Source organism: Homo sapiens, chromosome 20 (genome assembly GCF_000001405.40).
Source record: "Homo sapiens chromosome 20, GRCh38.p14 Primary Assembly".
Classification (NCBI taxonomy): domain Eukaryota; kingdom Metazoa; phylum Chordata; class Mammalia; order Primates; family Hominidae; genus Homo; species Homo sapiens.
In genome coordinates, this window is record NC_000020.11 from 56,442,641 (window position 1) to 56,465,003 (window position 22,363).

The 22,363-nt window shown below is 45.6% G+C and overlaps 1 protein-coding gene and 1 pseudogene across 5 annotated transcripts in view; one reads left to right on the plus strand and one right to left on the minus strand.

Moving 5' to 3' along the window:
• Positions 1–17,742, plus strand: part of CASS4 (Cas scaffold protein family member 4) — a 48,347-nt gene extending 30,605 nt beyond the window's left edge. For 4 of the 5 annotated variants that reach the window (NM_001164116.2, XM_006723831.4, NM_020356.4 and 1 more), the window contains 4 exons: positions 3,260–3,361; positions 7,959–8,039; positions 9,179–10,489; positions 15,700–17,742. In NM_001164116.2, coding sequence (NP_001157588.1) covers positions 3,260–3,361; positions 7,959–8,039; positions 9,179–10,489; positions 15,700–16,107 — 1,902 coding nt within the window. In that variant the 3' untranslated portion in view covers positions 16,108–17,742. The remainder of the gene's footprint in view (positions 1–3,259; positions 3,362–7,958; positions 8,040–9,178; positions 10,490–15,699) is intronic. The other variant, NM_001164115.2, reaches the window with a different exon arrangement.
• RPL39P (ribosomal protein L39 pseudogene) lies at positions 16,595–16,992 on the minus strand (annotated as a pseudogene).
• Positions 17,743–22,363: the final 4,621 nt, after the last annotated feature.

Genomic DNA, 22,363 nt, shown 5'->3' on the forward strand with positions numbered 1-22,363 from the left:
TTAATATAATGTGCTGGCCTAATTTAAAAAAAAAACCCACCACATCAAGAGCATATTTGATTTCAGTTTAAATTCAGAAGGGACTCTTGTATTTCAAGAGAAAAGGGTCAGATTTCCTGGTGAAACTGCTTTTGGATCCACTAGTTCCTGAACTGGAGTTTCCTTCTGTCTCCCTAAACCTTTCGAAACTGTGTTTCTCAAACATGTTCCTTAACTGATTGCCATACTGGGCCTACGTTTTCCAAGAAGCACTGGGCATTTTTGAGCTGGCTTCCTTCCATCTGAAATGTCATACACAGGAAAGTCCCTTTGCTCTGTGGAGGTGCCCTTATAGGCAAAGGGGATCCCACAGTCAGCCATCAAAATAAAATGGGCCTGAAGTCATGGGGAGGAATGGGCCTTGGGACAGCATTTGGAAAGGGTCTGCGGGGGGAGAAAGCTTGGTGTGTTTCTGGGAGGTACCACTGGCGGTACAGCCAGTGGTCCGGGACACTCACTCAAGGTCCCTGGGTGTGGCGGGTGCATAGCTTGTCAGACCGGGTAAGCAGCTTGGATTTCTGGCCTGGCGCGGTGGCTCACGCCTGTAATCCTTCCACTTTGGGAGGCTGAGGCAGGTGGATCACTTGAGGTCAGGAGTTCAAAACCAGCCTGGCCAACGTGGTACTAAAAATACAAAAAAGTAGCGGGGTGTGGTGGCGGGCACCTGTAATCCCAGCTACTCGGGAGGCTGAGGCAGGAGAATCGCTTGAACCCGGGAGGTGGAGGTTGCAGTAAGCCGAAATGGCACCACTGCACTCTAGCCTGGGTGACAGAGCGAGACTCCGTCTCCAAAAAAAAAAAGAAGCTTGGATTTCATTCAAAATGCAATGGGAAACCACTGATGGGCTTGTCCACCTAGACCAATCAGCCTGAGACCATCAGGAACAAAGTCAGGTTTACTGAGTGTAAAGAGGGAGATCACAGAGCAGAGGAACCATGAGGCAGCTCACAAACAGGAAAAGGTAGCATCGTGATGGGATGGGGAAAGGCGGGGTTTAGGTGAAGTCTAAGCGAAGCTGTGTCTTGATAGGCTCTGTGCACAACACGGCAGCGTGCAGGCTGGACGAGGGCCGCTCTCCCCTTGGGAACCACGAAGCGGAGATAGAGGGGGAGTCCTGGACCCGGAAACCCCTTGTCTGAAGCGCTACATGAGGGCCTGGGAATCAAGGCTGCTTCTCTGTCAATGACTCAGATCCCCCAGGCGAGAGTGGGATGCTTCATTCTTACTGAGAGCGCTTTGGAAAGCTGGGCTTCGAGAGCCTAGGATTTCAGGGAACCAAGTTTCTCAGGGAGTAAGAAAGCAGTCGTCACTCAACGAAGGGGGCTGTTTTGACATGTGACAGCTGCAGCGTGTCCTTGGAAGAAATGTTCATCCTGTTCGCATTGCGGCTGCTTTGTCTGCATCCGTGAGTCTAGCCAGATGAATGGCGGGGTGGATTTTTACACTGTGTGCTAATGTTTACCATCCAAGCCGTACACATCCACTCACCAAAAACAAACAGATAAATCTAGCATGTACATTCCCAGTGCTGCATCCCGGGGACACCATGATGAATAGAGGGACCCTGACCCAGTCCTCAGAAACTGCTCCTCTGCCTGCGTTCCCCTCCCTCAGCTCTGCATATTGAAACCCTAACATCCCCTGAGCCAACTTGGAAAGCCCCCTACTGAGCAACAGCTCCTTGGGACGCCAGTGGGAAGTACACTCCCCCTGTCCTGGACTCCGGAGCTTCACCCTGTCCTCTCCTCCAGGCCCTGTCTTGCTTACCAGCCTGTGCCCAGCCTATATTCAGACCTCATTTCCCTCTTAGACTTTAAGCCCGTGGTAGACAGCATCTTCTACTCTAGAAAAATGTGCGCATTCCTAGTCCCCTCCTAGAGACGTTCTAGTTCAGGAGGTCTGGGTGGGAGACTTGGCAGCTGTATTATTTTAAAGTTCCCCAGGGGACTCGGATCCCTGGCTGGGTTTGGAAGCTGCTCTGTGGCACCCAGTGTGGTACCCACCATTGAGCCAACATCATTGAGCTCTGGAGGATTAACTTGAATCTGAAGTTCCCATTCACAGACCCAGGTTCCATGGCTGAGACCATGTTTCCCAAAGTGCCTTGAGCAATAACTGGCCAGGTGCTCTCAATAAAATATAAATCGGGGCCAGGCGCGGTGGCTCACGCCTGTAATCCCAGCACTTTGGGAGGCCAATGTGGGCAGATCACCTAAGGTCGGGAGTTCAAGACCAGCCCGACCAATATGGTGAAACCCTGTCTCTACTGAAAACACAAAATTAGCCTGGCATGGAGGCATGTGCCTGTAGTCCCAGCTACTCAGGAGGCTGAGGCAGGAGAATCGCTTGAATCCAGGAGGCGGAGTTTGCAGTGAGCCGAGATCGCGCCATTGCACTCCAGCCTGGGCAACAGGAGCGAAGATCCATCTCAAAAAAAAAAAAGGTTTATATGTATATAAATTGGATGGTCAATCCCATCCTTTGTAGGACAAAATTCAAACTCCTTCACTGACCTGCTCCCTGTTAACCTTTCCCACTCCACCTCTCCCTCCTCCCCTCCCTCGCTCCTCTCCATCACTTTCACATTGCCAGGTTCTCTTCTGCCTCCCACTGCTGCCAGCAAAAGCTGCCAGCTGCAGCTCAACTGGTCACCTCCTGCTTCCCTGCCTCAGCCCAGGTGACAAGTCCTTAGACAGCTCTCAGACCTCAGTTTCCTCCCAGACCTTGTTGGTCCCTCCACCTTACATTCTTAAAGTCCCCTCTGCCTATTGCGTGCACTTCTCCAGCCTCAGCCTAGCTAGATGAATGTAGACGAATAGCTCAGTATCAGAGTCACAGCCTCCTGGTCCCTAGAGAACATCGGAATCACCTGGCAAGCTTGTTAACACTGCAGGTTCCCGGCCCCCCTCGACACCCAGAGACTCCGTCCAACTCGCGTGGGCCCAAGAATCTTCATGTTAACCTGCTTCAGGTGAACTTCCCAGGTGAGGCAGGTAAAGAACATCGTGGGCCACGTGCGAGGAAGGCTGCCTCCACCGGGGAGCCTCCCACCCGTGCCCTGCTGTCTTGAGAGTGAAGAGCCTGCCAGCGGGGGTGCCGGGCGACCCCTTCAGCAGTATCCACCCAGCTGTCTCTGCTTTTGGAGAGATGACTTTGAACCTGATTGTGATCATCAGAGTGACATTTCCTTTTCCTCTTTTCTCCTCCTTTCTCTCCAAGGCCATCCTCACGCTTCCCAGACCTGTCCGGGCCTCACTGCCGACTCTGCCTTCCCAGGTGTATGACGTGCCTACCCAGCACCGGGGCCCCGTGGTCCTGAAGGTGAGCCTTGTTCAGGGGCCCCTCATCACCCAGACCTCTGCGCCCAGAGTCTGGGGTTCTTGGGATCATGCCCACATTGCATTTCAGCATTACCATGGCGGCCAGGGGCTCAGCCTCCAGAATACACATCACCACTCAGAGGCCAACTTCATAACCTCCTTTTTACCCATGGAGCCCAGTCCTGCTCTAGAAAACATTATGACTACTTGAGTTCTGAATATTTTGAAATTTTTACTTTTCATTTATAATAGATTGTTTTTTCTTTTTCTTGTTGAGATGGGGTCTTGCTTTGTTGACCAGGCTGGTCTCGAACTCCTGGCCTCAAGCAATCCTCCCATCTCAGCCTCCCAAAGTGCTGGGATTATGGGCATAAGCCACCGTGCCCAGCCATTATTTATAATAGATATTTAATATATGTATGTGTGTACATACACACACATTTTTTTAAATGATATTTTGAAGGATATGCACCACAGTCTTAACACGGATTATCACTGATTATCTTAACATTGATTATCTCTGGGGGAAGAAATTTTAGTTGTTTTTTTTTAACTTGTTTGTATATAAGTGGAATATCACATTTGTAAGACATGCTTCATGTGATCAAAAAATAGCTTTGCTCCTTTCTTAGCCCATCCAAATGCTCTGCGGTGGCGTTCTCCCCACCCACCTACCATTGGGATCAGTAGCTCCCAACTTTCGTTGTATGCAAAAGCATCTGAGAGCTTTAGCCATCCTGGTGCCTGTGCCCCAACCCCAGAGACTGTTGAATCAGGTCTAGATGGGGCCCAAACATCAGGATTTTTAAAAGCCCTCAGGTGATTGTACTGAGCAGCCAGGATTGAGAACCACAGTTCCAGTCTAAATAAAATTTCAAGCAGGCTCTGTGACTTCCTGGTCACTCACAGGTAATAAGTCACTTTTGGCCAGGTGCGGCAGCTCACACCTATAATCCCAGCATTTTGGGAGGCCAAGGCAGGAGGATCACTTGACACTAGGAGTTCGAGACCAGCCCAGCCAACATGGTGAAACCCCGTCTCTCCTAAAAATACAAAAATTAGCTGGGCATGGTGGTTCACGCCTGTAGTCCCAGCTACTAGAGAGGGTGAGGTGGGAGAATCACTTGAACCTGGAAGGTGGAGGTTGCAATGAGCTGAGATCACACCACTGTACTCCAGCCTGGGTGACAGAGCAAGACTCTGTCTGAAAAAAAAAAAAATCAAAATCAAAAATTAAAAAAAAAAGAAGTCACTTTAGCCTTGCTAGGCTCAGTTGAGAAATTTAATTGTCCAGGCAATAATCAAACTTTCTAGTTCATTTAAAGCTAAAGCTCCTGCTGCCCAGCTTGGGCCTGCCTGCTGGGCTGGGCTCCAGGGACTGGCTAAGTTCTCTGCTGGTTCACCATCTCAGGTTTCTACCCTTTCTCACTCACTGGGTGGTCTCAGACTCCTGCAGGGCTGCAAGAGGCAGGCAGGGACAAAGGTCCTGCTCACCTGGTTCTGTTGGCAGATGTGCTAATAGCAGTGGCCAGTATGGCAAGCTGATTCTTTCTCTTCTGGGGTATTCCTGTAAGTGCCCCCCACCTCCTACCCCTCACCTCCTTGCTGAGCATCTCTTACCTGCAAGTCCCTCCAGGTGGACAAATGCATCTCCTCTGGCTGCTGGCTCCTCCCTTAGCTCTGGGGCAGGCAGGTCATTTCCAGCCACATCCTCGTGACATTCCCTGAGCCATTCCTCCCTGGCTCTTGCTCCAGCTCTTGTGTGAGCCATGCCTGGTCCATGACAAACACACAAGCTCCCTTTGCCATGATAGACTCCAGGAGCACAGGCGCTTGCCTTGGGTGTAAAAGTTATCAATGGGCCGGGCGCGGTGGCTCACGCCTGTAATCCCAGCACTTTGGGAGGCTGAGGCAGGTAGATCACGAGGTCAGGAGGTGGAGACCACCCTGGCTAACGCGGTGAAACCCCGTCTCTACTAAAAATACAAAAAGTTAGCCGGGCATGGTGGCAGGTGCCTGTAGTCCCAGCTACTCGGGAGGCTGAGGCAGGAGAGTGGCGTGAACCCGGGAGGCGGAGCTTGCAGTGAGCAGAGATCGCGCCACTGCACTCCAGCCTGGGAGACAGAGTGAGACTCTGTCTCAAAAAAAAAAAAAAAAATAGTTATCAATGAAGACACACTTGTATGACTCATTTCACTCATCTTGCCCTAATCCCAGCCCCACTAGACCCTGTCTTTATGTAAAACTGTGACATTTTGTTCACCATGATTTTTTTGCATTATGATTTTTAAAAATATTGCATTTTAAATAGTATTTACTATGATGATTGAGTTTTTTGGTGCCCTCTTAATGTTGTGCCCAAGGCAACTGCTTTGCTCTCCTCCCCCTGGTCCTGACCCTGAGAACAGGCCATCCACAGCACGGCTGCCACCCTCTCTCTTTTCAACTTTCCCAAGCCAGAGTCAGCGCCCAACCACTGTGACCCCAAGCTCAGGGGATACAACTCAAGTCATTGAATGGTCCCATGGGAACACTTGATGGTTTGCTTTTGGGGAGTGAAAGGCAACCCCCGCTACACCGCACCCCATTTCCCAGCTGAGGAGAGCCCTCAGGAGACTCACAGCCCAACTCCCTCTACAGAAACCCCTTCCAATATCCAACTCTTTCTCTCTTTCTTTGCAAAACCTATTTTGGTGCTCTCTTGCCTTGCTTTGGAATTTGTAACCTGTTTTTTGTATCCTAATATATATGTTTTTTAATTACTGTACACATTACATATATAATATGTTATGTCATATATATATCTCAAGCCACTGAAGGAGTTTGAGCAGGGGAGTGACAATCAGATTTTTAGGAAGCACACATCATCACTGGCCGTCAGAGAAATGCAAATCAAAACCACCATGAGCTACCATCTCACACCAGTTAGAATGGCAATCATTAAAAAGTCAGGAAACAACAGGTGCTGGAGAGGATGTGGAGAAATAGGAACACTTTTACACTGTTGGTGGGACTGTAAACTAGTTCAACCATTGTGGAAGACAGTGTGGTGATTCCTCAAGGATCTAGAACTAGAAATACCATTTGCCCCAGCCATCCCATTACTGAGTATATACCCAAAGGATTATAAATCATGCTGCTATAAAGATACATGCACACGTATGTTTATTGCGGCACTATTCACAATAGCAAAGACTTGGAACCAACCCAAATGTCCACCAGTGATAGACTGGATTAAGAAAATGTGGCACATATACACCATGGAATACTATGCAGCCATAAAAAACGATGAGTTCATGTCCTTTGTAGGAACATGGATGAAGCTGGAAACCATCATTCTGCACAAACTATTGCAAGGACAGAAAACCAAACAACGCATGTTCTCACTCACAGGTGGGAAATGAACAATGAGAACACTTGGACACAGGGTGGGGAACATCACACACCGGGGCCTGTCATGGGGTAGGGGGAGTAGGGGGAGGGATAGCATTAGGAGATATACCTAATGTAAATGACGAGTTAATGGGTGCAGCACACCAACATGGCAGATGTATACATATGTAACAAACCTCCACGTTGTGCACATGTACCTTAGAACTTAAAGTATAATAATAATCATAAATTATTAAACTAATTACACAGATAAAAATAATAAATAAATAAATAATAAAATAAAATAAAATAAAAAAGATTTTTAGGAAGCACAGTGCCTGGCACTTAGGTCATTGCTAAGATGCACATTTATCAAATGAGTCTCTCATACCCTGTTTTTATTGCTGTCGTGATGTGCACAGTGTCATCCAGCTTCGTGTCTGGTCATTAGTGGGCACTCGTTGAATATTTGCAGAATAAATATGAATGATAAAACAGGAAAATTTCTACTGAGAAAAAGAAAGAAGACATATTAGGTCTCAGTCTCATTTATCCTCTGGCTTAATTTTAAGATGAACTCAAGATAAATTACCATTTTTAATTTAGGCAACTGCAGTTAAGGCTCTCTTGTTTGCCCCCCAACCTTTGGTTGAGAGGTCTTTTTTTTTTTTTCTTTGAGATGGAGTTTCGCTCCCGTTGCCCAGGCTGGAGCACAATGGTGCGATCTTGGCTTACCGCAACCTCCACCTCCCAGGTTCAAGAGATTCTCCTGCCTCAGCCTCCCGAGTAGCTGGGATTACAGTCATGCGCCACCATACCAGGCTAATTTTGTATTTTTAATAGAGTTCTCCATGTTGGCCAGGCTGGTCTCGAACTCCCGACCTCAGGTGATCCTCCTGCCTCAGCCTCCCCAAGTGTTGGGATTACAGGCGTGAGCCACCACGCCCGGCTGAGAAGTCTCTTTTTAAAGCACAAAGTCCATTGTTGAATGTATACCCTGTTATGGGAAAAAGGACTGTGATGTCCCCTGCGTTGCCTCAGACAAGGAAGGCGGGAGACCTGTCACCCAGATTTCTACCATTACAGCATCATGACCAAAAGCACCGAAAAGTCTTCAGGAATTTGTGTCTTCCTTTGGAAAAAAACACTGGAATAGGGAGTGTTCGTGATGTGTAGCCATTAGGAAAGAAACATTCAAGTTGTCTGCCTTTGTGGTCTTTCCCCAGGAGCCAGAGAAGCAGCAGTTATATGACATACCAGCCAGCCCCAAGAAGGCAGGACTCCATCCCCCAGACAGCCAAGCAAGTGTAAGTATGAAGAGGTGCTAAGGTGCGGTGTTATGAACACACAAAATCCTCTCAGAAATGTTATTAGCTTGGGGCCAGGCACGGTGGCTGAAGCCTGTAATCCCAGCACTTTGAGAGGCCGAGGTGAGTGCATCACCTGAGGTTGGGAGTTCAAGACCAGCCTGGCCAACATGGCAAAACCCCATCTCTACTAAAAATACAAATATTGGCTGGGTGTGGTAGTGGGCGCCTGTAATCCCAGCACTTTGGGAGGCTGAGGTGGGCAGATCACTTGAGGTCAGGAGTTCAAGACCAGTCTGCCCAACATGGTGTAACCCTGTCTCTAATAAAATACAAAAATTAAAAAAAAAAAAAAAGAAAGAAAGAAATGTTATTAGCTTGGTCAAAAATTAGAATGCAAATTCCTCATAACAGAGACCTTGTTGCATTTGAGGTAAAACCTCTCATTGCACTTGTGTTCAGGAATAGGACTAATTACGTGGTTGGGATAAGTCGTTTAACTTCTCTGTTTTTATGGGCTGGGAGTATTAAGTGAGATAATCCTGCAAAGGACCCGGGACAGTGCCTGGCATGGTGTGAAATTATGTAATGGCTTCTTCTTACGACAGACCTCAGGGGCGTGCTGTGATACAGTACACTTTTATCTGTGTTGGGCAAAGGACTTTATCTGAAATCTGTGTAATCTATGTTTATAATTGGATTCTACCACATGTGTCCCACAGACACACTTACACCCAAGGTCATTAGGGAACATCTTACAAGAAGGCTGGCATTTCGCCGTGTCAGGGGGATGCATAGGGGTTTGGTGGATGGAAAAGAAAGGGTTGCCAAGGGCATTTAGAGCAGAGAAACCAGTTTGGGTAAAATTAAATACACTGGCATGAGTCAGTGTTCTGAGTTCAGGGGAAAGTAAACAGCTTGGGTGGCTGGACCTGTAAGCAGATGGTGGCAGACCAGGTGGGGTCAGCGTGGTGGAAGTCGAAAGAAATGAGGCTCAAAAGAATCCTGAAGGACCTTGAGTGGTAACAGAAATGGGGAGCCACTGAAGGAGCGGCGGAGTGACGATGAGATTTAAACAACGCACTCGCGCCCTCTTTGGAAAGCTACTAACCCGGCAACTATGTGTGGTTCTCCCACAGGGGCAGGGTGTTCCCCTGATATCAGTGACTACCTTAAGAAGAGGCGGTTACAGCACATTACCAAATCCTCAGAAATCGGAATGGATTTATGACACTCCAGTGTCTCCAGGAAAGGCCAGCGTCAGAAACACGCCTCTCACCAGCTTTGCGGAAGAATCAAGGCCCCACGCTCTCCCCAGTTCCAGCTCCACTTTCTACAATCCTCCAAGTGGCAGATCCAGGTCCCTCACTCCACAACTGAATAACAATGTGCCCATGCAGAAAAAACTCAGCCTTCCAGAAATTCCTTCTTATGGCTTTCTTGTACCCAGAGGCACATTTCCTTTGGATGAAGATGTCAGCTACAAGGTTCCTTCAAGCTTTCTGATTCCCCGAGTGGAACAGCAGAACACCAAGCCCAATATTTATGACATCCCTAAAGCAACGTCGAGTGTTTCTCAGGCTGGGAAGGAGCTGGAGAAAGCCAAGGAGGTGTCAGAGAATTCCGCGGGCCATAATTCCTCATGGTTCTCCAGACGGACAACTTCCCCATCTCCTGAACCGGACAGATTATCAGGTTCCAGTTCTGACAGCAGAGCTAGCATCGTTTCCTCGTGCTCCACCACATCCACCGACGACTCCTCCAGCTCTTCCTCGGAGGAGTCAGCAAAGGAGCTCTCCTTGGACCTGGATGTGGCCAAGGAGACAGTGATGGCTCTGCAGCACAAGGTGGTCAGCTCTGTCGCTGGCCTGATGCTCTTTGTCAGCAGGAAGTGGAGATTCCGAGACTATCTGGAGGCCAACATTGATGCAATCCACAGGTCCACTGATCACATAGAAGAATCTGTAAGAGAATTTCTGGATTTTGCCCGAGGAGTCCATGGGACTGCCTGTAACCTCACTGACAGTAACCTTCAGAACAGAATTCGGGACCAGATGCAGACCATCTCCAACTCCTACCGCATCCTGCTTGAAACAAAGGAAAGCTTGGATAATCGCAATTGGCCTCTGGAAGTTCTTGTGACTGACAGTGTCCAGAACAGCCCAGATGACCTTGAGAGGTTTGTCATGGTGGCACGGATGCTTCCAGAAGACATCAAGAGGTTTGCCTCCATTGTCATTGCCAATGGAAGGCTCCTTTTTAAGCGGAACTGTGAAAAGGAAGAGACTGTGCAGTTGACCCCAAATGCAGAATTTAAGTGTGAAAAATACATCCAGCCTCCCCAAAGAGAAACTGAATCACACCAAAAGAGTACCCCTTCCACTAAGCAAAGGGAAGATGAACACTCTTCTGAACTATTAAAGAAAAATAGGGCAAATATCTGTGGACAGGTGAGTTCAGAGTTCCAAGTGATCGAAAAAGGGGCTTCAATTGTTACCTGGAGTAGTGGCTACTAAGATGCTGAGACTCTTTCCATAGTGTATAGGCTTTGGGGAGACACTGGTTCCATTTTCTAGAAAATAAAATTTATGAAAGTAAAATTCTTGATGAAATCTTATTAACAAGTCAGATAAAGATAGGTCAGCATAGGCAGATAGGTCAGTTGATTTGGATTTCTTCCGAAAACTTTTGGCGTTCAAGTTTACCATATTAGAATTAAAAGGGATTTTTAAATTTCTTAAAAATTTATTATTTGAGTAGATTTTTAAAACCTCACCACCAAGTCTCCTTGCATTTTTGAAAGTTATAAATTTAGTCATTCTCAGTGTGTTTCTTAGCAACGAAAGAGGAAGTAGAAACATTCTTTCAAATTGCCCATGGTCTGATCAGCCCCCAGACTTCAGCTACTCTTAGAAATACTTTTCTGAGGCTGGGCCTGGTGGCTTATGCCTGTAATTCCAACGCTTTGGGAGGCCAACGCAGGAGGATCCCTTGAGGCAGGAGTTTGAGACCAGGCTGGGCAACATAGTGAGACCCCAGCTGTACAAAATTTATTTTTAAATATCCAGGTGTAGTGGCTCATGCACTTGGGAGTCTGAGTGGGGGTATCCCTTGAGACCAGGAGTTTGGGGTTGCAGAGAGCTATGATGGTGCCACTGCACTCCAGCCTTGGTGACAGAGCAAGAGCTAATCTCTAAAAAAAAGAAAAGAAAAAAAAGAGTTGGGATATAGTGGCTCACTCCTGTAAACCCAGCACTTTGGGAGGCCAAGGCGAGCAGATCACTTGAAGTCAGGAGTTTGAGACCAGCCTGGCCAACATGATGAAACCCCATCTCTACTAAAAATACAAAAATTAGCTGGGCATGGTGGTGTGCGCCTGTAATTCCAGCTACTCAGGAGGCTGAGGCAGGAGAATCACTTGAACCCAGGAGGCAGAGGTTGCAGTGAGCTGAGATTGCATCACTGCACTCCATCCTGGACCACAGAGCAAGACTCTGTCTCAAGAACAACAACAACAAAAAAACAAAAGACAGAAAGAAATACTTTTCTGGATGAGTTCAGACATTATAGAGCGAGATGCTTCAGTTCAGGGATTGTGAGCCTTAAGAGGCCCAGAAGTCACTTGGGGGCTGTGTCAAGGAGATAATTTGCTACTTTCAGCCCCGACCTTTGTGTTCTGCTGAAATGCCTGGTGGTGTAGGAGCTTTAACATGTTCTAGAAATTTGGATGTTTAAAATTTACATACACATATATATAACTTTAAACAAACCATGTGGGTCATTATATCAGGCCATGTTGATAGGCAAAATTCAGCCTTTGGGTGGCCAAAGTCTCCTTTGGTTGAGAAAAGGAATCAGTAGGCAGAACCATCAACAGAAAATATGAGAAAGAATGCTCAAGTCTAAAGTGAACTTAAACAGTTCCACTGTAGTGTAAAACACCACTCAATTTGGTAAGTTGAAGGGATTTTATTTTTCAGACATTGCCTAACTTAGAAGAGAAAGATAAACCTATCTTGGAATAAAGGTTAGATGAAAACAAAGACTTAGGAACCATGGTAAGCTATAGCACTCACTCTCTAAAGCTTCTGATTCATACGCTCTATTGCTAGATTCGTCTCATCATGCTACGGATAGCTCAACATTACAGCCATGACCCACATGGGCGAGAGTTCGTTTTTGTGATTCTTTGTCCTTTATTTTAGCAAGAGAGTCCTGGAGATCACTGAGTCTAATGAACGAACCCCAGGGAATGAAAGTGAAGCATTAACCATTACTGAAATGACTGTAGGGGCTCTGCAAGGTTGTTGTGGGTGGTACTGACAGGGCTAAATAGGACTGACTCCGTTCCTCTTTGACATTCTGATTTAATGTTTCTGATTACAACAGCAAATCTTGATTTGGGGCTTGTATATCTTCAACACCTCTTTTACACTTGATGTTCTTCCTTTTTTAAAAAAAAAAAAGTCAAAGATGTTATCGTTGTGCTTATTTTTATTGGTTTCCTTCTATTTGTGGTCAATGACAGTAGTTTTCCATTTACCATTTTTCACAGTTTCCTTTAAATTAATGTAAGTAAAAACAATGGGTCCATTTAAAGGAAAGGAATGAAGCCAGTAGAAGTTAAGAGGAAGGTGGAAAGAGTATAACTTGTAAAGGTTGTAAAGGTTGTCTCTGAATAACTGAGCTTGGGAAACTTACCTAGGTTATAGGGCAGATGGGGTAGAGGGTGGAAGAAAAGGATGTCCAATGATAGGATAAGGTCATGTACCTTCTCAGAGGCAAACTAGGACAAGAATTCAGGCCTCCTGATGCTCAGCTCCCTGAACCCCAAACACTAGTCTTTGGGCCTGCCATATTGCTGACAGTTATGCTATTTTGTTCAACATTAAGTAGGCCTTAGACTAGTGGTTCTCACATTTGAGTGTATCACAATCACCTATGATCTTTGTTAAAACTCACATGGCTGGCCGGGCATGGTGGCTCACGCCTGTAATCCCAGCACTTTGGGAGGCCGAGGCGGGTGGATCGCCTGAGGTCAGGAGTTTGAGACCAGCCTGACCAACATGGTGAAACCCCGTTTCTACTAAAAATACAAAAAATTAGCTGGGCATGATAGCGGGCACCTGTAATCCCAGCTACTCGGGAGGCTGAGGCAGGAGAATTGCTTGAACCCGGAAAGCAGAGGTTGCGGTGAGCTGAGATCGCACCACTGCACTCCAGCCTGGGCAACAAGAACAAGACTCTGTCTCAAGAAAACAAACAAACAAAAACAAACAAACTTGCATGGCTGGGCCCCGCTCTCAGAATTTTTGATCTAGTAGGTCTGGGGTGCAGCATAATAATGTGCATTTCTAGCAAGTTTGCAGGTGACGTTGATGCTTCTGGTCCAAGGACCTCACTTGGAAAGCCCCCGCTTTAGACTGACAGCACTTCTCAGTGGAGGCCCGGGGCACCGTTGGCCACCGGGTGGACAGTTCTCCATTGCGTGGTGAACCGTTCAGCATCCCAGAACCCCTGCCCGCTCACTGCCTATAGAAGTCCCTAGTCAATGCGATAACCAAAACTATCTCCACACATTTCCAGCACCCCATGTTAAGAATCTTAGTACATTTTTCACCTCCCTACGGTTAATATTTTCACTTAAGATGCTCATAATCTGATGCCTACCTCATTACTTCTCGTTATTTCTAAACTCTTCTTTTTTTTTTTGAGACGAAGTCTTGCTCTGTCACCCAGGTGGGAGTGCAGTGGCGTGATCTCAGCTCATTGCAATCTCCGCCTCACAGGTTCGGGCGATTCTCCTGCCTCAGCCTCCTGAGTAGCTGGGACTACAGGCGCCTGCCACCACACCCGGCTAATTTTTTGTATTTTTGGCAGAGACAGGGAGTCACCATGTTGGCAAGGCACATCTCAAATTCCTGACCTCAAGTGACCCTCCTGCCTCAGCCTCCCAAAGTGCTGGGATTACAGGTGTGAGTCACCGTGCCCAGCTCCCTTTTTTATTTTATTTTTTTGAGACAGTGTTTTGCTCTGTTGCTGAGGCTAGAGTGCAGTGGTGAGATCATGGCTCACTGCAGCCTCCACCACCCAGGTTCAATCGATTCTCCCACCTCAGCCTCCCAAGTAGCTGGGACTACAGGCCCGCACCGCCATACCTGGCTAATTTTTGTTTTGTTTTGTTTTTGGTAGAGACAGAGTTTCGTATGTTGCCAAGGCTAGTCTCAAACTCCTAGGGTTAAGCGATCCTCCTGCCTCGGCCTCCCAAAGTGCTGGGATTACAGGTGTGGGTCACTGCACTCAACCTGCTTCATTCTTATACTCCCTGCTTCCAAGAGTCCATGTGAACTGACATTTCAATCTTTCCTTCACTTTCTATGACAAAGACAATCATTGTTTTCATTTTCCAAATATGCAATTCTAATAATGAAGGTGCTTCTTCGAAGTATGCCTTCCTCTTCCTTGTCTAACTTCCCCTCCAACCCTACTAGGAGACATAACCCCCTTCTGAAAAAATCAGTTTTATGCCCTATCTGTCTGAATGCTTCCGGGCTATGAATTTTGAGATAATAGGTAAATGCGAGCGTGTGAAATTTAATGGAAAGAAAGCAAGTTTCAGACCTAGAGCTCCAGATCTCTCATGTGCTAATGGAATAGCCGGAGGCAGCCTTTTCTCTTCTCTGAGCTTCACCTTTCAATTGTTACCTGGAGTTGTGGCCACTAAGTTAGGTACTGAAAATCTTTGAGAGTATGTAGGATTTGGGAGAAGTTGGTTCCATTTTCCAGAAAATAAAATTCATGAATGTAAAATTTTGATGAAACCTTATTAGCAAATATGATAAATATTTTAATATTAAGGCAAAAAATAAAATAAATAATATTAAGGCAGATAGGTCAGGGTATTTAGTTGCTTCTGGAAATGTTGAGAGTTCTGATATATCTCTGATACTGAAATCAGAGGATTTTTGGCTTTTTAAATGTTTTTAAATCTGTTCTTTGAGAAAATTTTAAATCTCATCAAGTTTTTGTGCATTTTTAAAAGTTACAAATTTAGCTGGGTGCAGTGGCTCACCCCTGTAATCCCAGCACTTTAAGGAGGCTGAGGTGGGCAGATCATTTGAGATCAGGGGTTCAAAACCAATCTGGCCAACATGGTGAAACCCCATTTCTGCTAAAAATACAAAAATTAATTGGGCATGGTGGCAGGTGCCTGTAATCCCAGCTACTCAGGAGGCTGAGGCAAGAGAATTGCTTGAACCCAGAAGGTGGAGGTTGCAGTAAGCTGAGATTGCACCATTGCACTCCAGCCTGGAAGATAAAGGAAAACTCTGTCTCAAAAAAAAAAAAAAAAAAAAAAGTTATAAATATAGTCATTGCCAATGTGTTTCTTAAAATGGGTTTCTTGTAGTTGGTTTATTGAGATGATTGAATAAAATTATATATGTATGTATTACAATATAATATTGTATATATTATATATTACAGTGCTTTGAAAACATTAATTTGTTAGACAACTGTTGCAGTATTGGGCTTCCCAAACCAAACCATGCTTTTTTAAAAAAAATAAAAAGTCTTGCAAATCTAGCCAAAACAGGAAAGGGCAGACAGCCACAGCCCATTGATTGAATCTCCTATCTATTTTCTTCCTTCCCTTCTTTAGAATCCTGGCCCTCTTATACCTCAGCCTTCGAGTCAACAGACTCCTGAGAGGAAACCCCGCTTATCTGAACACTGCCGGCTCTACTTTGGGGCGCTCTTCAAAGCCATCAGCGCATTTCACGGCAGCCTCAGCAGCAGCCAGCCCGCGGAGATCATCACTCAGAGCAAGCTGGTCATCATGGTGGGACAGAAGCTGGTGGACACGCTGTGCATGGAGACCCAGGAGAGGGACGTGCGCAACGAGATCCTCCGTGGCAGCAGTCACCTCTGCAGCCTGCTCAAGGACGTAGCGCTGGCCACTAAGAATGCCGTGCTCACGTACCCCAGCCCTGCCGCGCTGGGGCACCTCCAGGCGGAGGCTGAGAAGCTGGAGCAACACACGCGGCAGTTCAGAGGGACACTGGGATGAGGACTGTCTACCTCCCTTCCTCCTCTGCTCACCTCTCAGCTTCACACCCACAACTTGTGCAACTCTGCCCTATGGGAAAAGCCAGCCGGGGCATACACCAATGAGCTGAAACAGACCTGGTGCCCAAAGCTGGTAGTACCAAGTGGCTAAGCAACCCCAGGGCATTGACTTACCCCGCAGGGGGTCAGGAAAGAGAGTCAGGTATGAGGTAAAGACCTTGTGAAGTTTAGCATATATGGAGTATGCAGTATCAGCTTGAAGTGACTTCGCAGAAATAATATTTTATATTGATTAAATGTGTGCATGTTTTGTTTGTTTTTTGAGACAAAGTCTCACTCTGTCACACAGGCTGGAGTGCAGTGGCGCGATCTCAGCTCACTGCAACCTCCGCCTTCTGGGTTGAAGCAATTCTCCCGCCTCAGCCTCCAGAGTAGCTGGTACTACAGGTGTGCGCCACCATGCCCAGCTAATTTTTGTATTTTTTTTTAATGAAAGGTCTCACATATTTATTACTGAACCCAGCCAACCAATGCATTCATAACAGATTCAGAAAGAAAAAATATATTCCCAATAAAACATGTACAATTCTCCAGAGAGCGGTGACATTTTCAGCTTGATGTGGTAACATGACTGTGACCTTCAGACAGCATAAATATGTGTGCCCTCTCATGTGCAATTCCTTATAGGGCTAGCTTGGTTCTTCTTCAATGTCTCCTTTTGGAGTTGTACCTGATTTTATTACCAGTTTTCATCTGAATCCACTGGGGAGTGGGGCGATTTTGTTTTAATTTCTCGGTCAGGAATCACTTAATCCTGGAAGTCTTATGAGAAGACATGGCAAGAAGCAGAGTCAAGCACACACCACAATGGCAGAGAAAGGAAGAGCTAATTTTTGTATTTTTAGTAGAGTCGGGGTTTCACCATATTAGCCAGGCTGGTCTGGAACTCCTGACCTCAGGCCATCCCCCGCCTCGGCCTCCCAAAGTGCTGGGATTACAGGCCTGAGCCACCATTCCTGGCATGTACGTGTTTTAAATTCACTCATTTAACACTTATGTATTGGATGCCTACTACATGCCAAGTTCTAGGTGCTGGAGACATAGCAGTGTTTCAGAGGGCTTGCCCTCTTGGAACTTATGATCTAGTAGGGGAGTCAGGCAGTAAAGCGGTGAAGAAATACATACACAGTATAGCAGGTGCCAGGAAAAACGTAAGTAGGGGAAGTGCAAGAGAACTTATCTTCAAATGGTTAATTTTTATTGCATCCATTAGATAATAGAGTAAGTTTTTTGTTGTTTTGAATTGAATTAGTTCTGTGAGATTGGTACAAATTATGTATGTGTCTTGCACCCATAAATATATATTTTTGCTATGTTACTTTAACCTAAAGATAGATGTTATATTTACAACATAACATGATCTGTTGGGTTCTCTATTAATTTATTTCATACATTATAGATTCTGGGTTGATAAATTCTGCTCAATTTGAAAAATTTTATATTTTGTCTCAAATCTGTTACAATTTATATTGGTTGGTGCAAAAGTAATTGCGGTTTTTGCCGTAGACAGTAATGGCAAAAACCACAATTGCTTTTGCACCACCCTAATAATATTAAATATAATCATGACTTTAAACATCATTTGCAGCATTCTTTTTTTGGAAAAGTCTTTGATCTGTGTCACCCAAGTGAAGCCTCCGATGTTTACTTTTGTCACTCCAGTGCTTCTCCCTGAAGTCTGCAGAGAGATGGAGTAGAGGCCCTGCTCTTAGGCACCGGATTGGTGCTGGAAAACAAAGCCATCACCTGTGGTGGTGCAGACAGGAAGGCGTGGTGTGGACAGGATGCCCATCATTGGGCACAGATATGAAAGTGGCACAGAGCTCCCCTCAACTCAAACCACCTCCTCTTCCTCTCCTTGTAGCTGAGTCCTCAGCTCACGTTGCCATGGTTACATCATCACTTCATTTTAAGTGATGGTCTGGGCCTCCTAAATGCATAAACACCTCTACAGCTTGGAAGAGCATCTCCAGGCTGTAAGTCACCTGAAATGATACCAAGTCCAACTCCTATCTGCTACTCTTTCCTTGGTAGGCACTTGTAAAATGTTGACTGCTGGAGGCTGGTTATTTTTATTAAGTTAGTCTCAGGGTCCTTAAAAAAAGGATCCCATCTTTGTGAGGCTTGGTTCTCTACAACTGGACAGAGGCCCTCCAGGGGGCCTATTCTTTGAACAGCCATGATCTGCATCAGTTAGGACTTCTCTTACAAGGGATAGAAAATCATACCCAATCTGTCTTAAGCAGTAAAGGAAATTTATTAACTCATATGTCTTAAAATCATCCAGAGGCAAACTAGCCGCAAGGCTGGCTGGTTTCAGGGGCTCCAACAGTGTGATCCAGGACCAGTTTCTCGGTCCCACTTGCTCTGGGTTAACCCCCATGATTGCAAGGTGGTTTTCCCAGGTTACACTCTTCTTGATTCTTGGCCAGAGGAGAAGAAAAGGACTTCATTCGGCTTGGACTGGCTTAGATCAGGTGCTGCTCCTGAAAGCTCCATGATAAGCAGGGCATGGAACACCCAAGTTAATTTAGATCTGGAATTCCTACCCACCCCACACTCACTCTCCCATGGGTCCTGAGAGGTAACGGGATTGCTCTTTCAAGCACTGTGATGGGCCTGAGGTTTCATCTTTGAAATTAACAAGTTAACCTGTCACCATTTCATGGATGCAGACAGAAGATCTAAGATTCTGGGATCAGAGACTATGTCAGTGGTCCCCAAGACCACCTCCAGGTCCAATGAGTCACTAGGAAAATTCACAGGACTCAGAATACAGTCATATTCACAGCTGTGACTTACTACATTGAACAGATGCAAAGTGAGATCAGCAAGGGGAAGAGGTACCCGGGGTGAAATCTAGGGGAGACCAGGCACAAGCTTCCAAGAGTTTTCCCCCAGTGGAATCACACAGGACACGCTTAATTCACCCCAGCAACACTTGTGCCAACATGTGTGAAATGTTGTCAACCAAGAAAGCTCATGAGAGCCTCAGCAGCCAGGGTTTTACTGGGGGCTGATCAGGTGGGAAGCCTCTGTCTGGCATGAACCAAATTTCCAGACTCCCAGAAGGAAAGCAGGTGTTCAGTATGAATCACGTTGTTTGTATAAACAGTTTAGGCACAATGAGCCATTCTTATAAATTCTGGCAATGGTGGGAACCCTCCCAAAATCCAAGTTTCCATGCACCAACCGAAGGTCAACCTTGCAGGCAGGCCTTCATAAGGATATTTGTCAGGCCTGCAGTGTTCATCCTTTTGTGCATGGAGACAGAGGACTCTTTCTCCTGGCATTGCAAGCAACTTGGCTTCACCTTCACATCATTTCCCATGTCCTCCAAGTCCCAGGGGGTGATGCAGTGGTGGGCTCAGGTGGATGCTGAACACATAGGTTTGTGTCAAAGACAAGGAACCTTAGCATAGGAATCCCCAATTTTTTATAACGGGCTCGGAGCAAATCTGACAAGGCTTGGCCTCAGAGGGAGACATCATCTTTACTATATATTTATATATGTAATATATGTTATAGCTATGCAATATAGATGTTAGATATGTAATATAGATGTTATATATGTGAGAGATATATATATATATATTCGGATAGGGTCTCGCTCTGTCACTCAGGCTGGAATACAGTGGTGCAAACATAGCTCACTGCAGCCTCAAACTCCTGGGCTCAAGTGATCCTCTTGCCTCAGCCTGCAAAACTGCTGAGGTTACAGGTGTGAGCCATCGTGCCTAGCCCTCATTTTTAATATACTGCATACCAAACAAACCTGCCCTCTGCTCTGGAGGGAGACACTATCTCTATATTCCAAGGCTGTTGGAAGATGGTTAAACAACATCCTTTAAAAGATGGTTCACAACAAAATGCCATTGGTGCCTCTGCTCTGAATATGTGCAGAAAGGCAAGAGACCTATGGAGAACTGTGTCCCGAGAGGATCCCCTAATAAAAGTCAGGAATATTCTTGGAAGAAGGAGGGATTAGGCCAGGCTTGGTGGCTCATGCCTGAAATCCCAGCACTTCGGGAGGCTAAGGCAGGAGGGTTGCATGAGCCCAGGAGTTTGAGAGCAGCCTGGGCAACAAAGCAAGATGCTGTCGCTACAAAAAATACAAAAAAATTAGCTGTGCCTGATAGTACACACCTGTAGTCTCAGCTACTCAGGAGGCTACAGTGGGAGGATCTCTTGAGCTCAGGAATTCGAGGCTGCAGTGAGTGAGCCATGATTACACCACTACACTCCAATCTGGATGACAGAGTACGACTTCATCTCAAAAAACAGAAAATTAAAAAGGGGAGGGATTATTGTGAGGAGGCCAACAATAAATTTGTATTGCAGTGGATAAAATTATGTTTTACGCTTAATAACAGTGGCATATATTTATTAAATTATTACTACATTGCTACTAAAGCACTGTTCTAATGCTTTATATTCTTTAACTTAGTCGTTCATAAGTGAGTCTTTCATGGTGTTCTAATAGGTAACGAAAAGTCCTTTTTTTTTTTTTTTTTTGAGATGAGTCCAAATTGAAGACCTTTGTCAACAAAGTACAAAACCACTGGGTGTAAAATAATGAAAAATGCTGCTGCTAGCTAAATGTGTTTCCTTCCTTTTTTTGAAACAGTGATTCCAGGGTGAATTTCCACTGATTAATAAGATGATTACCTCTGAAAAAAACTTTAAAATAAAATTAAACACAATTTTTTAGCTTTTGGTAACTTTGTGCTGAGTATTTTTGCTTAATGCCTAGAATTCTGTATGGTTTCCTCCCAAGGAAGGAAGAGGAAATGGTGCGTGGTGTGGTGGTAGCAACTTGACCTCAACTAAGTCAAATTTCATCAGGAGGCTGGAAGTGGTGAAGAGCCCATGTTAGCGATCCTCCAGTTTGACAAGTTGTGGGGAGTTGTGTTTGTGGTTTGGTGGCAACTATGTTTTTTATAAACATCTTTTTAAAAATGTTATGTTTTCCCTATGTATGCGCCCCAGTTCTCTGAAAGTTGCCCATTTGTATGTGCACTTATAAGGAGGTGAATCAAAGCCACTTGCTGATGCCCTTTTCCTTTCGTTCATTCATTTCTCAAATAGTCATTGAGCAGCTCCTACTTGTTCAGGCCTTTGCTGATCACTAGAGATGCTGCAGGAAACAGAACAGAAGCTCTGGAGCATGGCGCTTTCTTTCCAGTCGAGGGAGATGAAAAACCAGGCAGGAGGTGGGAGAGGAGCTCTTATGGAATGCTAACTATAAGGCGGTGCCCAAAACACTGTGTATCAAGATAAATAATATGTTGATGCAATTATTTTTAAGAAATAAAAATCAATGCAAAAAACTCCATGGTGAACAAAATGTCCAAATTTATATTTATAACATGATATTTGCGTGATAAATGCAAAGAAGAAAATAAAGCAAGATGGGGTAATGTGATGGCAGAGCAGTGCTATTTTGGATGGAGAGGTCAGGGAAGATGGCTCCAAGGAAGGGTCCCAGGAGCAGAGGGCTGGATCCCTTGAGGGGGCCAGCTGGGAACACATGAAGAGAAAGCGCGTCCCTGGAGAAGGATCAGCAAGACATGTGCACAGAGGTAGGAGAAGAGGGTGGCCAGTGTGGCTGGAACCTAATAAGGAAAGGAACAGTGGCCAACATTAGCTGGGAGGGGTGGCCAGGGGCCAGTTCATTCAAAGCTTTGTATATTGCCAGAATATTTTGAATATTTCCCTAAAACTGCAAATTAAAAGTAATTTTTGTCTTGAATTATCTCAGGACTTGCCTCAGTTTTCTACTTTGTTTTAACCTTCTTTGGGACACCTTCCTGTGTATGACCTTAAAGGATGGTTGCAAAGTTCTTCAAACATTTTTCATATCTACTGTCTTAGTCCATTTTTTGCAGCATTAACAGAATAAGAACAGATTTATTTCTTGCAGTTCTGGAGGCTGGGAACTCCAAGGTCAAGGGGCCTGCATCTGGCAAGGGCTTTTGTGCTGCATCATCCCAAGGTGGAAGGTGGAAGGACAAGAGAGCAAGAGAGGGCCGAACTCAATGTTATAACAAGTCCACTGTCTCGATCACTAACTCACTCCCAAGATAACAACATGAATCCAGTCATGAGAGCAGAGCCCTCATGACCTAATCACCTCTTATTAGGCCCCAGCTCCCAACACTGTTGCATTGGGATTAGATTTCCAACACATGAAATTT